This window comes from Homo sapiens, chromosome 9, assembly GCF_000001405.40.
Source record: "Homo sapiens chromosome 9, GRCh38.p14 Primary Assembly".
Taxonomy (NCBI): domain Eukaryota; kingdom Metazoa; phylum Chordata; class Mammalia; order Primates; family Hominidae; genus Homo; species Homo sapiens.
In genome coordinates this window covers 137411159-137423049 of record NC_000009.12, presented here as the reverse complement: position 1 = coordinate 137423049, position 11891 = coordinate 137411159, and the positions used below count along the sequence as shown (strand labels likewise).

Here is an 11891-nt window from a genome sequence, read left to right as displayed (position 1 = left end):
GGCCGGGTGCGCGTCCTGAGGTGAGGGCCGTAGCTGGGAGTGAGCCGGGGGCGGGCCGCCGGCTCTCCCGGGGTGGGGAAACTGAGGCCCCGATGGGGCGGGGAAGGTGCGTTCTCCCGCAGGGCCCCGCTCCGGAGGCCGCCGAGCAGCCGGACGCCGCGGGGAGCTGAGCCGACCCCGGCGACCCCGCCGCCCTGTCCCGCAGGGCCTGCCCTCCTCCGCGCCTTCCGAGCACGGACATCACAGGACCCGGAGGCCCTTCGCTCCCTCGCCGAGGAGGAGGCGCTCCCGGTGGGACGCGCGCGCGCCCGCCCTGCCCTCCCCGGGAGAAGGGACGGGCGCCTCCCTGCAGGGGCCCTGGCTTCCTGTCCACCGGCGCTGAGTCCTGTATTAGTTGTCAACCTAAAATAATTAAAAGGGTCAGAATGTGGTGCCCGGTGGGTTTATTCAGGCACAGAGGTCGAGGGCGGCCTGGGTCACCAGGTGCAACGGAGAACAAAACAGAGGCTCAGGTTTTTAAAGAAAACAGAGCCCATCGGAGAGCAGGTGGTTTCGAACGTTGCCCAGGAGCTCACTGGCTTGTAGAAATGGCATTGGTTCGCGATTGACCACGGCTTGGTGTCATCAGTGGATAGTTACTTGGCTCGAGGGGTAGTGAGGGGCTGCGGTTTCATTTGAAATGCTTTCTGGCACTTAACATCAAGCTTTCTGGGCCCACAGTTTAAAAGGGCTTTACATTCCTCAGATAAATGATTTTTTTCTTTCTCATTTGCCCCCCTTTTGATCAAAATCTTTCTTCTTGAAAGCATTGATTATCAAAATCTGAGGGTCAGAGTGTCCCCTCTTGCTGGGAAGGCTCATTCCCACATAGTCCTGTCCCATGCCAAGCAGGGAAGGAGGAGACATTTCAGGGAGTTTTTTTTTTTTTTTTTTTTTTAAGAACACCACAAACTGAATTGGAATGGCATTACAGGGTGGCAAACATGAGGTCTCAGTGAAGTCATTAATTTATACAACTGCTGTCACCTGTTGAATCATCTCTAGTTTTTAGAAACACCATTAATTTTAATTTTCTCAGAAGTAACACATAGGACTATAACCAATTTGTATGCCAGGATGAAAAAAACAAACCTGTTCCATTAGGGAGACAACTAAAAACATGAAGAAACTAAAATCCATGTTCTTCTTTCTTTTTATTTATTTGTTTACTTAGAAATGGGGTCTTGCTCTGTCACCCATGCTGGAGTGCAGAGGCACGATTCCCACTCATCGCAGCCTTGAACTCTTGGGCTTAAATGATCCTCTTGTCTTAGCCTCCTGAGTACCTGGGAATACAGGTGTTTGCCACCAGGACCGGCTAATTTTAAATTTTTTTGGTAGAGACTAGGTCTTGACACCTTGCCCAGGCTAGTCTCGAACTCCTGAGCCCAAGTGATCCTCTCATCTGGGCCTCCCAAAGTGCTGGGGTTATAGGTGTGAACCTCTGCCCAGCCAGGTTCTTCTTTGAGACTTGTAGCCAGAAGATTGTTCAGGATTTAGTCCAGATTGTAGGAAAATAAAAAATACAATGATCAGGGCTAGAATCCAGTAACAGGTATGCTGTAGTTTTTCTCTGAAACATAATTTTTCTCTACTTCCCCATTTCTACCAAAGATAAATCTTGGTAAGACCAATTTACTTGTAAAATAAATTTTAGGATTATATTTGGCCTGATTATTTGCCTAAAGTACAACAGTGGTGATTGGCCATATAGGCTCCTTTCTAAACTGGCTGGAACTTTGCCATAAGGAATTTCAGACTTTTTTTCCCCACATCAGACAGGTAATGTGCTGGCGTCATAACAGCGTTTGAAGGAGACAGACCCTACACATGAGGCAATCATCATGCTTATGAACTACAAGAGGGTCAGAATAGACCTTTAAAAGCCACTTGAGGGCTGGGCATGGTGGCTCATGCCTGTAATCCCAGCACTTTGGGAGGCCAAGGTGGGAGGATTCATTGAGCCCAGGAGTTTGAGACCAACCTGGGCAACATAGCGAGGTCCCTGTCTCCACAAAAAATTTAAAAATTACCTGGGCATAGTGGTGCTCACCTGTAGTCCCAGCTACTCAGGAGGCTGAAATGGGAGGATCGCTTGAGTCCAGGAGATTGAGGCTGCAGTGAGCTATGATCGCACCACTGCACTCCAGCCTGGGTGACAGAGCGAGACCCTGTCTCTAAACAAAACAAACACTTCCCATGTCTAGGAAGCCAAGCCAGTGGCTCCCCATCACAGTGTATGTATAATACCTGTATGAATTTGGGGGGGGGGGTGAATGTCTGTCCTCCAGGTCCCAAACTATCTTGAAGTTCCTGGATCTGTCGGAAAGTGACATTCTTTCCTTACCTCAAGGCCAAGAACCTTTTAAGGGAACTATGTAAACAGGGCACCAGTCCAGTCATCCCAAGGGGCTTTTTATTGGCTCTATAAAGCGAACCTCGATTCCTCAAAGCAGTCTCGTCATATCCAAAAATACGTCATCCCAGTCCAAGCCTTGGTAGAATAACCAGGGTCTCCAATTGTGTCCTGTTACAAGGACAACAGATTCTTACTGAACTCATGCAAAGAACTACATTGCCATAAAATAAGAATACTCATGAATCGCTTCCAGATTTTTGAGAAATCAGGTAGAGAAAAAGACAAATATTTCAGTTTTGCTCACAAAAGTATATGTCACTCAATTGCTATAGCTATAAATAGCTCAAAAAGAAAAAGGTTTTCTGACTCTGGAAAACAAAATATAAAAAGAGTCAGCAAGGTTTCGATAACAACAAAAAATCATAAAAAGCATTTCAGGCCTCTATCAGTTCAGTTCTATGTAATTTGCTGGGGTTTTTTTTGTTTTTTTTTTAGGCGGAGTCTCCCTCTGTCGCCCAGGCTGGAGTGCAGTGGTACAATCTCGGCTCACTGCCAGCTCCGCCTCCCGGGTTCACGCCATTCACCAGCCTCAGCCTCCCGAGTAGCTGGGACTACAGGCACCTGCCACCATGCCCGGCTAATTTTTTTGTATTTTTAGTAGAGATGGGGTTTCACCGTATTAGCCAGGATGGTCTCGATCTCCTGACCTCGTGATCCGCCCGCCTTGGCCTCCCAAAGTGCTGGGATTACAGGCATGAGCCACCGCGCCCGGCCGCTTTTTTCTGTATGATGTTGGGTTAACAATCCTCATGAATGCATCAGCTTTTAAATAAGAGTCCTGGAAGTTTTTATCTGGTCTACTGGTGTGATCTCCCAGGTTATCGGAAGTCTGTATACTTGTCAATGTCCTTTCCATGAATTTCCTTGAAGAAAATGCAAATTTTGGACTGTACCTTATTTTATTTTATTTATTTATTTATTTTGAGATGGAGTCTCGCTCTGTTGCCCAGGCTGGAGTGTAGTGGTGCGATCTTGGCTCACTGCAACCTCCGCCTCCCAGGTTCAAGCGATTCTCCTGTCTCAGCCTCCCAAGTAACTGGGATTACAGGCATGAGCCACCATGCCCAGCTAATTTTGTATTTTTAGTAGAAACGGGGTTTTACCACATTGGCCTGGCTGGTTTCGAACTCCTGACCTCAAGTGATCCACCCGCCTCAGCCTCCCGAAGTGTTGGGATTACAGGCATGAGCCACCGTGCCCGGCCTTAAACTGCATTTTGAGAAGAATCAAAGTAAAACAGTAATTTTCTGCAGATGACAAAAGACTTAGAGTAGCCATGGGTGAAGACGCGATTGGCAGGGAATTTGGTTACTTCTGAGGTTAAAACAGTTTAACATATAATCGTAATCACGACTGATAACATATACCAAGACATGTCAGAATTTTTAGGAATCTCATACAATTTTGGAACATATGTTAATAATACATTTATACCAATATAACTCCAACAGCATTCCACATTTGACAATGCTTCCTGTATGATTTTAACATACCACATAAGCCTCGTACATCTCCCTTGGACTTCTCGGGGTTCCTATTTGTTATATCCAAGTTAGTTCAGGTGAAAAAAACCCTTAATGTTAGGACTTGAAATTTGGTTTTGGGAAGTCAAATATCAGAGGCTTAAAACAATCTCAAAATAGGACCACAGGTCACTGTAAAATAAGCCATTCATTTAATCAAATTGGTAATTCAGAGATTTCCCAAACCAAAAACCTTTACTATGACAGAGAGGAGACTTAGTTTCCCAAGCAATCAATAGACCTACTAAAGACAGCGTGAGGCAAACAGAATGTCTCTCCCTCTTTCCCCTTTTTTTTTTTCTGTTTACTCAGAAGATAAAAATATTTTACAATCTCTTATTACTACACGAAATGTTGTTCAAAAGAAAAACAAACTCTGCTTTTCTTATACATCTCACGTACAGAATTGTTTCTCTTATATTTAGTAGTTTCAGTTACATATATTAATTACAGTGTTAACTTCGTGACCCTAATTTTCCGTTAAAAACTCAGCGAGTAATTTTGAACTGTATGTGTAGATGGAAACCATTTCATCATGTTTTACAGAGATGCATCTCCTAAATTTTTTTGTTAACAGATGTAAATATATTTAGCTTTCCTATGCCATATAAAAATAAGATACTAAAGTATATAAGCTTAAACTTACGCTTAGTAATTAATGTTTCAGTGTTTTACTTAGAAATGACTCAGACGTTTGTTTGTTTGTTGTTTGTTTTTTGAGACAGAGTCTCGCTCTTGTCGCCCAGGCTGGAGTGCAGTGGCGCAGTCTCGGCTCTCACTGCAACCTCTGCTTCCCGGGTTCAAGCGATTCTCCTGCCTCAGCCTCCTGAGTTAGCTGGGACTACAGGTGCATGCCACCACGCCTGGCTAATTTTTGTATTTTTAGTAGAGATGGGGTTTCACCATGTTGGCCAGGCTGGTCTGGAACTCCTGACCTCAGGTGATCCGCCCGCCTCGGCCTCCCAAAGTGCTGGGATTACAGGTGTGAGCCACTGCGCCCGGCCACAAAAGGAGATTAATAGGAGAAGTGGCATCACCCAGGGCACAGACCTCCTGCCAGCCCCGGGGGTCCTCGGCCTCCCAGTGACCGTGCGTCCCCGAGGCTCACCCGTCCCCTCCGTGGTCCCACCCCAGTCCTTGCAGCTCACCCCCTCCGGCCCCGCCAGCCCCTCACCCACGGGCTCCTCAGATCCTCAGGCTCTGTCCTTTCCTCCCCGCCTGACGGCCCGGCCTCCCCCGCAGGCGCCCTGGGCAGGACCGGCCCGCGGCACGGCCTGCGCTTGAAGGAGGCGGGAAGGGCCCAGCGCAGTGGCCGGTGTGCCCGGGGCGCACACGTGGTGTCGGTGATGTCGCCTGCGCCGACCTCCTGTTCCGTTCGTGGCGGAAGCTGCTCCGCCGCGTGGTGGCCGCGCGCCTCCTCCTCCGCTCGGCCGTTCCTCCTCTGCGGCCGCCACGCGCAGCGCGGCTGGGGTAGTTTGTGCGGACGCGCGTTGCTGGTCCCCGTGGTCTCTGCCCGGGAGAGGAACTGCCAGAGCCCGTGGTCGCTGTGTTCGACTTTCCGAGGAACGGGTGGGCTGTGGGGTGTGGCCACGCCGCCTCCCGCCCCTCGCGCCGTTGGCTCCGTGCAGATGCGGTCAGCAGGGGCCTCCGCGCCGCGGAACCCGTGGTCAGGTTCGGCCTCACCCGTGGACCCGTCTGGCGCCTCTGCGGGCGCGCTCGCTTCCTGGCAGCCTGGGCGCTGCCGGGGTGTGCTGTGCTCACCACCCGCCGCCTTTCCCATTTTCACGACAAGCCGTGGGAAACTGGCCATCCCCGTCCCTGCGGCGCCCGCGTGAGTCCGTGGCCGCGTCCTCTGTGCGAGTCCAGACCCGTGTGTCTCCCACCGCCCACCTGACTTCTCCCCCGGCGTCTGGTGGGCGCCCCTCCCTCGGGGATGAAACCCCGCAACGCGGCCCCGGCTTTGCCCGGGAGCTCGGTCGTCACGAGGGTCGCCCTCTCCTGCCGTTGCCGCCTCCGCCTGTTCTGAGGCCCACAGGGAGGCCGAGGAGATCCTAAGGTGGGGTCCCCTTGGTCAGACCCTCCCGTGGAGTTGGGCGTGTTCTGGCCGCGTCTGTCGGGAAACGGGGAGGTGTCGGGGCTTCCTGGCCTCCTGACGGCCGCACCGTCATCAGTCCCGAGCCCAGCTCAGGGAGGGCCTGCTCCCTTCTGCTCCAGGTGGGAGCGGCTCCTGCCCGGGGCGCCTCCAAGAGCACCCCTGCGAGCTCGCGACAGCCCCAGGCTAGGCTGCGGGACGGCCTACCGACCCTTGGTGTTGATCCTTGTGTCACGGGGAACCAGGTCCTGGAACCGCCTGGTGCCACCTCGGTGTGACCTGGATGTGTCCCGTCCCCATCCTCCTCAGAGGGTGGCCGCCTGGCGTGGCGCAGGATGATGCTCTGAGCCGGGTTGCCCAGCACGTGTTAGGGTCCTGGGTGGAGAGGACCTTTGGGAAGCAGCAGCCGGGCTGACGAGGGTCCGGATGCCTGCCCGGGGACCAGCGAGGTTCCGGGCGCCTGCCCGGGGGTCAGCTGGGCCGGCCGGATGTTTCTGGTGGAGACCTGGGAGGTGAGGCGGTGGGCTGCCGGCGGTCCCTCCCTGGCTGTGCAGAAGCTGCGGTGGAGTGTGAGCTGGACCTGGGGGTGCCCGGCCTGATGGGAAGGTGGCAGAGGCTGTGTGACATGGAGATAGGTCGTGAGGGCCCCAAGTCCGCCCCTTTGTCCCTGTGGGTCCCTCACTCTGGGAACCTCGGGCTGCTGAGGACTGAGACGTGCAGTGCCCTCCCCCTGGTGGAGCGGCCACCCAGCCAGCCACCGCAGAATTCTTGGCCCTCAGGCACTGCAGAAGAGCGAAAGCCCTGGCTGTGGGTCCCAGGTGTGGCTGGCAGTGGCCGGCGGCAGGCAGAGGCCCTGTCACCATGGGTGAGGTGTGGAGGTGCTAAGGCTAAGATCCCATCCTAGTTTTAACCTTCAAAAATATCATTCATGGTTTTTTCTTTGTTCATGAATACAAACCAGGGTGTATACATTGTGTAGTATTCAGAAAATACAAAACAGAAAGCACAGAGGCACCGTCGGCAGAGCAGCCAGGCCCTCACACGTGCATCTGCCTGGTTTTGAGAAGGGACCTTGCACCGTGCAGCGTGATCCCCTTAGGGCAACGCGACTTTATGCTGCTCTGTGAACCCTTTCCCATGCCATTAAGTATTTTTATAAAACATGGTTTTTAAATGCTGTTTATCATTCATCAGATTCTACCTTGTGTGATCAGAACTGGGGTCCTTGGGAAAGCCCACCCTTGATGGGGGACTGTTGGCCCCAGCCCCGTCTGTGATGGTGACCCCAACATGTGCTGTTGGCACCTCCCAGAAAGGGTTCCCCAGAGCCCATGGGCCACCTGACCCGTCCTTGCAGCTGTCCCATGGTACATCCATGTGTTGTGGGCAGTGAGCTGCAGGGAGGTGGGGTGCACAGAGAAGCTTGCCGCAGAGCTAAAACCAACACGGTGAACAGGGAAGGTGTCCTTCAAAACCGCAGCCTGGGCAGGAGCAGTGGCTCCTGCCTGTAATCCCAGCACTTTAGGAGACCGAGGCAGGCTGATCACCTGAGGTCAGGAATTCGAGACCAGCCTGGCGAACATGGAGAGACCCTGTCTCTACTAAAATTACAAAAATTAGCTGTGCATGCCTGTAATCCCAGCCACTCAGGAGGCTGAGGCAGGAAAACGGTTTGAACCCGGGAGGCGGAGGTTGCAGTCAGCTGAGATCGCCCCACTGCACTCCAGCCTGGGCAACAGAGCAAGACTCCATCTCAAAAAACAGAAAAAAAAAAAACAAACCTGTGACAGGCCCAGCGCAGTGGCTCACGCCTGTAATCCCAGCATTTTGAGAGGCCGAGGTGGGCGGATTGCTTGTGGTCAGGAGTTCAAGACCATCCTGGCCAACATGATGAAACCGCGTCTCTACTAAAAATACAAAAATTAGCTGGGCGTGGTGGCAGGCACCTGTAATCCCAGCTACTCGGGAGGCTGAGGCAGGAGAATCACTTGAACCCTGGAGGCAAAGCTTGCAGTGAGCCGAGATCGCCCCCCTGCACTCCAGCTTGGGCGACAAAGTGAGATTCCGTCTCAGCCTGGACAACAGAGCGAGACTCCATCTCAAAAACATAAAAACAAACATACAAAGAAACCCTGCGACCTACGTGGAGCCCACGGGGGCCAAACATGCCAGCACCCCCCTGGAGTGGCGGTGTGGGACCCCACACCTGTCACACCTGCTGGCCTCCTTCTCCATCTCCTGTGCAATATCCCTGGAAAGTTACTTTTTGTGTTTAAAATTGGTCATGTTAATTGTTAAGGAAAGGAACAATCCTTAAGTTAAATTGGTAAGTTTAAAAAAACGAAAGACAGACCGCAACAGGCGTTGGTGAGGCTGTGGAGAAATCAGAACCCTCGTGTGTTATCGATGCTAGCGTAAAATGGCACGTCCACTGTGGAAACAGTCTGGTAGTTCCTCAAAAAGCTAAACATAGAAACACCGAGACTCAGCAGCTCCAGTCCTAGGAATGTGTGTCCCCAGATCAGTGAAAACACACTCCACACAGAAACATGCACACAGCTGTTCACAGCAGCACTGTTTATAACAGCCAGACAAGGGGGTGCGGCCCGAATGTCTGCTGGACAAACAGCCCGTGGTCTGTGCACACAGTGGGGCAGGACTCAGCCACGGAAAGGCAGTTCCAGCACATGCTGCTGCAGGGATGAGTTTTGAAGACACCATGCCAAGTGAGGTCAGTCAGCCACAAGAGAACAGAACCTTGGCCGGGCGCGGTGGCTCACGCCTGTAATCCCAGCACTTTGGGAGGCCAAGGGAGGTGGATCACGAGGTCAGGAGATCGAGACCATCCTGGCTAACACACAGTGAAACCCCGTCTCTACTAAAAATACAAAAATTAGCCGGGCGTGGTGGCGGACGCCTGTAGTCCCAGCTACTCGGGAGGCTGAGGCAGGAGAATGGCGTAAACCCGGGAGGCAGAGCTTGCAGTGAGCCGAGATGGCACCACTGCACTCCAGCCTGAGCAACAGAGTGAGACTCCGTCTCAAAAAAAAAAAAAAAGAAAAAAAAAACAACAGAACCTGTGTGGTCTCCTTTATAGGAAATGCCCAAAATAGAAAGATTCACAGAGACACAAAATGGCCAGGGGCTGAGGAGGGGCAGAGGGAGTAATTGTTGATGGGCACATGGTTGGTTGTCTTTGGGGCAATGAAAATGTTCTGGGCTGAGGCAAGTGGATCACGTGAGGTCAGGAGTTCAAGACCAGCCTGGCCAAACATGGCAACACCCCGTCTCTACCAGAAATATAAAACTTAGCCGGGTGTGGTAGTGGGCGCCTGTAGTCCCAGCTACTCAGGAGACTTAGGCACAAGAATCACTTGAGCCAGGAGGCGGTTACAGTGAGCTGGGATCGCACCACTGCACTCCACCCTGGGTGACAGAGCGAGACCCTGTCTCAAAAAAAAAAAAAAAAAAAAGCTAGGCCAGGCGCGGTGGCTCATGCCTGTAATCCCAACACTTTGAGAGGCTGATGCGGGCAGATCACAAGGTCAGGAGATCAAGACCATCCTGGCTAACACGGTGAAACCCCGTCTCTACTAAAAATACAAAAAATTAGCCGGGCGTGGTGGCAGGCGCCTATAGTCCCAGCTACTCGGGAGGCTGAGGCAGGAGAATGGCGTGAACCCGGGAGGCGGAGCTTGCAGTGAGCCAAGATCACGCCACTGCACTCCAGCCTGGGCGACGGAGTGAGACTCCGTCTCAAAAAAAAAAGTTCTGGAGTTGGATAGTGGTGATGGTGACTCATGTATGTGAACATGTTGAAAACACCGAGTTGTAACTTTGAGGGTAAATTTTATGGTATGTGAATTATATCTCAAAGTTATAGAGCAGTTACTGAGGCTGGGTGTGGTGGCTCACGCCTGTAATCCCAGCACTTAGGGAGGTTGAGGCAGGAGGATTACCGAGCTCAGGAGTTTGAGACCAGTCTGGGTGACGTAGTGAGACCCCATCTCTACAAAAAATACCCCTCCCAAAATTATCCAGGTGTAGCGTGCACTCCGGTGGTCCCAGCTACTCAGGAGGCTGAGGTGGGAGGATCGTTTGAGCCCTGGAGATTGAGGCTGCCGTGAGCCGTGATCGCCCCACCGCACTCCATCCTGGGCGACAGTGAGACCCTGTCTCAAAAAAATTAAATAAAAATGGTCACTGAGATGGTAAACACATGGAATTCCCTTTGAAGCCAGTGGACACAGTGTGTGAGTCAAGGCTGCTGTTCACTGAGGAGGCCTGAACTCCCTCCCGAGGGGCCCCGGCTGTGCGTGGCCATCTTGCCAGCATCAGCTCATCCTGCTGTGCCCTCGTGCCTCTGGGGGCTGCTCCCGGGGGGCTCTGGGGTATCCACCCTGTCCCATGTGGAATGTTTCTGGTTCCCACTGACACTGTTTGGGGAGTGGTGGCCGCGGGGCTGTTTGCTTCTCCTGGAAGGGCCCCGGTGGGCACCTGGAGCTTTATGACGAGGAGGCTTTTAAGTTTTCTTGTAGACACATTTAAAAACTGAGAAACAAGTGAATTTATTTTAATAATATATTTTATTTAACTCCAGTATGCCCAAAATATTTCCATTTCCACATGCAGTCGATATAAAAAGCTGTCACAGAGATATTGACCCTTCTCTAATCACGTGTCTTGCACTTTCAGCTGTGGCTGCTGTGTCAGACAATATGAGGTGGGGAGGGGACAGGCCTTGGAGGCCTCCTTTGGGATCAACAGCTTCTGGGGGCTCTGAAGCCAGTGTTGCCCGCCCACTCGCTCTGGGTCTCAGGCCGGCCTCCAGCCCCCTGTCCTTGCCGCATCCTGGGGGTGGCGGCTGCAGGGCCCTCAAGGTTGGCGCTCTCAGAAGAGGGCAGTAAGGCCGGCTCTGTGGGGGTGGGGGAGCCTGGGAGCCCCCCATCGGGGTGCCAGGGAGACCTGGGGGGCACACAGCCCACTCTCTTGCCGCCTCCCGCCCTCCTGGCCACGCCTGCTGGCGGCACAAGGCCCACCTGGAGGGCCCACCGGTCCTCAGGGAAACACCACAGAAAAACCGCAGAGGAAGCGTGACCTGGCGCCCGGACAAGAATGCAGGGTGGCCCGGCTTCCAGTCCGTCTTGGGTGACTCACTGCGGTGTGCAGAAAACACCATTGTGCACCGCGGCCACAGGAAGCCCTCCGCCTCCCCGACTCCCTCCCACTCCCCCACCCCCTCCCCCTCCCCCACCCATCCCCCTCCCCCCAACCTCCCCCACCCCCGCCTCCGCCTGCCGCTCCTTTTCCAGGTCCCGGGGCTGGTGGTGCTGTGGCACCGATGGAGAGACTGACGGCCGCCGCTGGCCTGCCATGGCCACCTCTGAGCCTCTGCCAGCAACCTGGGTTCTTGTGGGGTCCTTCAAGGTCGGCCTGTTCAGGGGTCGTTTGAGGGAGCTTTGGGTCCTACTTGAGGGCGAAGCTTCGAGGGAGGGGCCCCTGCACATCCTGTTGGTCCCGCCGGTCCCGCCTTCCTGTGGAGGCTCCCTGGGAGGCCGCCGGGTGTCTGGCCAGGCCTCCCAGGAAACCGAGGAGCAGGGCTGCCCCCCATCCTGCCTCAGAGCCCATCTCCGGAGCAAGCCCCATGCCCAGGGCTCGGGGGCAGCTGTGCCTTCGCTGGTTTCCTTCTCTGGGAAGGGGGCATCCTGGGCTCAGCTGGGTTTGGGGTGAAGATGAGCCTTTCTGGGCGTGCGTGCCCCTCCCACGCCTGCGCTCCATTCGGCATCATCTACTCCATCTCACGGCCAGGCCTGGGACT

General features: G+C 53.6%; 1 protein-coding gene and 1 pseudogene across 8 annotated transcripts in view, besides 8 other annotated features; one reads left to right on the top strand and one right to left on the bottom strand.

The window, feature by feature from the left end:
* The window catches only part of EXD3 (exonuclease 3'-5' domain containing 3), a 116267-nt gene that overhangs the window by 113 nt on the left and 104263 nt on the right, over positions 1 to 11891 (top strand). The gene's annotated exons all lie outside the window — the stretch shown is intronic.
* Positions 7 to 146: a silencer, noted in NCBI's record as "silent region_20620". NCBI's record gives its function as "represses an Ori minimal core promoter by ATAC-STARR-seq in GM12878 lymphoblastoid cells {active_cell/tissue: GM12878}" and the evidence as "EXISTENCE:reporter gene assay evidence [ECO:0000049][PMID:35858748]".
* Positions 157 to 296: a silencer, noted in NCBI's record as "silent region_20619". NCBI's record gives its function as "represses an Ori minimal core promoter by ATAC-STARR-seq in GM12878 lymphoblastoid cells {active_cell/tissue: GM12878}" and the evidence as "EXISTENCE:reporter gene assay evidence [ECO:0000049][PMID:35858748]".
* On the bottom strand, positions 1812 to 1906 carry LOC124902354 (uncharacterized; annotated as a pseudogene).
* Positions 4839 to 5665: an enhancer, noted in NCBI's record as "H3K27ac-H3K4me1 hESC enhancer chr9:140311837-140312663 (GRCh37/hg19 assembly coordinates)". NCBI's record gives its function as "activates a minimal SCP1, AML or CMV promoter by ChIP-STARR-seq in naive and primed H9 embryonic stem cells {active_cell/tissue: H9 hESC(naive and primed)}" and the evidence as "EXISTENCE:reporter gene assay evidence [ECO:0000049][PMID:30033119]".
* Positions 5084 to 5353: a silencer, noted in NCBI's record as "silent region_20618". NCBI's record gives its function as "represses an Ori minimal core promoter by ATAC-STARR-seq in GM12878 lymphoblastoid cells {active_cell/tissue: GM12878}" and the evidence as "EXISTENCE:reporter gene assay evidence [ECO:0000049][PMID:35858748]".
* Positions 9759 to 10053: a silencer, noted in NCBI's record as "tiled region #4638; HepG2 Repressive non-DNase unmatched - State 23:Low". NCBI's record gives its function as "represses a minimal TATA promoter and a strong SV40 promoter by Sharpr-MPRA in HepG2 cells {active_cell/tissue: HepG2}" and the evidence as "EXISTENCE:reporter gene assay evidence [ECO:0000049][PMID:27701403]".
* Positions 10795 to 11164: a silencer, noted in NCBI's record as "silent region_20617". NCBI's record gives its function as "represses an Ori minimal core promoter by ATAC-STARR-seq in GM12878 lymphoblastoid cells {active_cell/tissue: GM12878}" and the evidence as "EXISTENCE:reporter gene assay evidence [ECO:0000049][PMID:35858748]".
* Positions 10795 to 11279: a biological region, named in NCBI's record as "ReSE screen-validated silencer GRCh37_chr9:140306223-140306402".
* Positions 11100 to 11279: a silencer, noted in NCBI's record as "fragment chr9:140306223-140306402 (GRCh37/hg19 assembly coordinates)". NCBI's record gives its function as "represses an EF-1alpha promoter that drives an FKBP-Casp9 reporter gene in an ReSE screen in HepG2 liver carcinoma cells {active_cell/tissue: HepG2}" and the evidence as "EXISTENCE:reporter gene assay evidence [ECO:0000049][PMID:32094911]".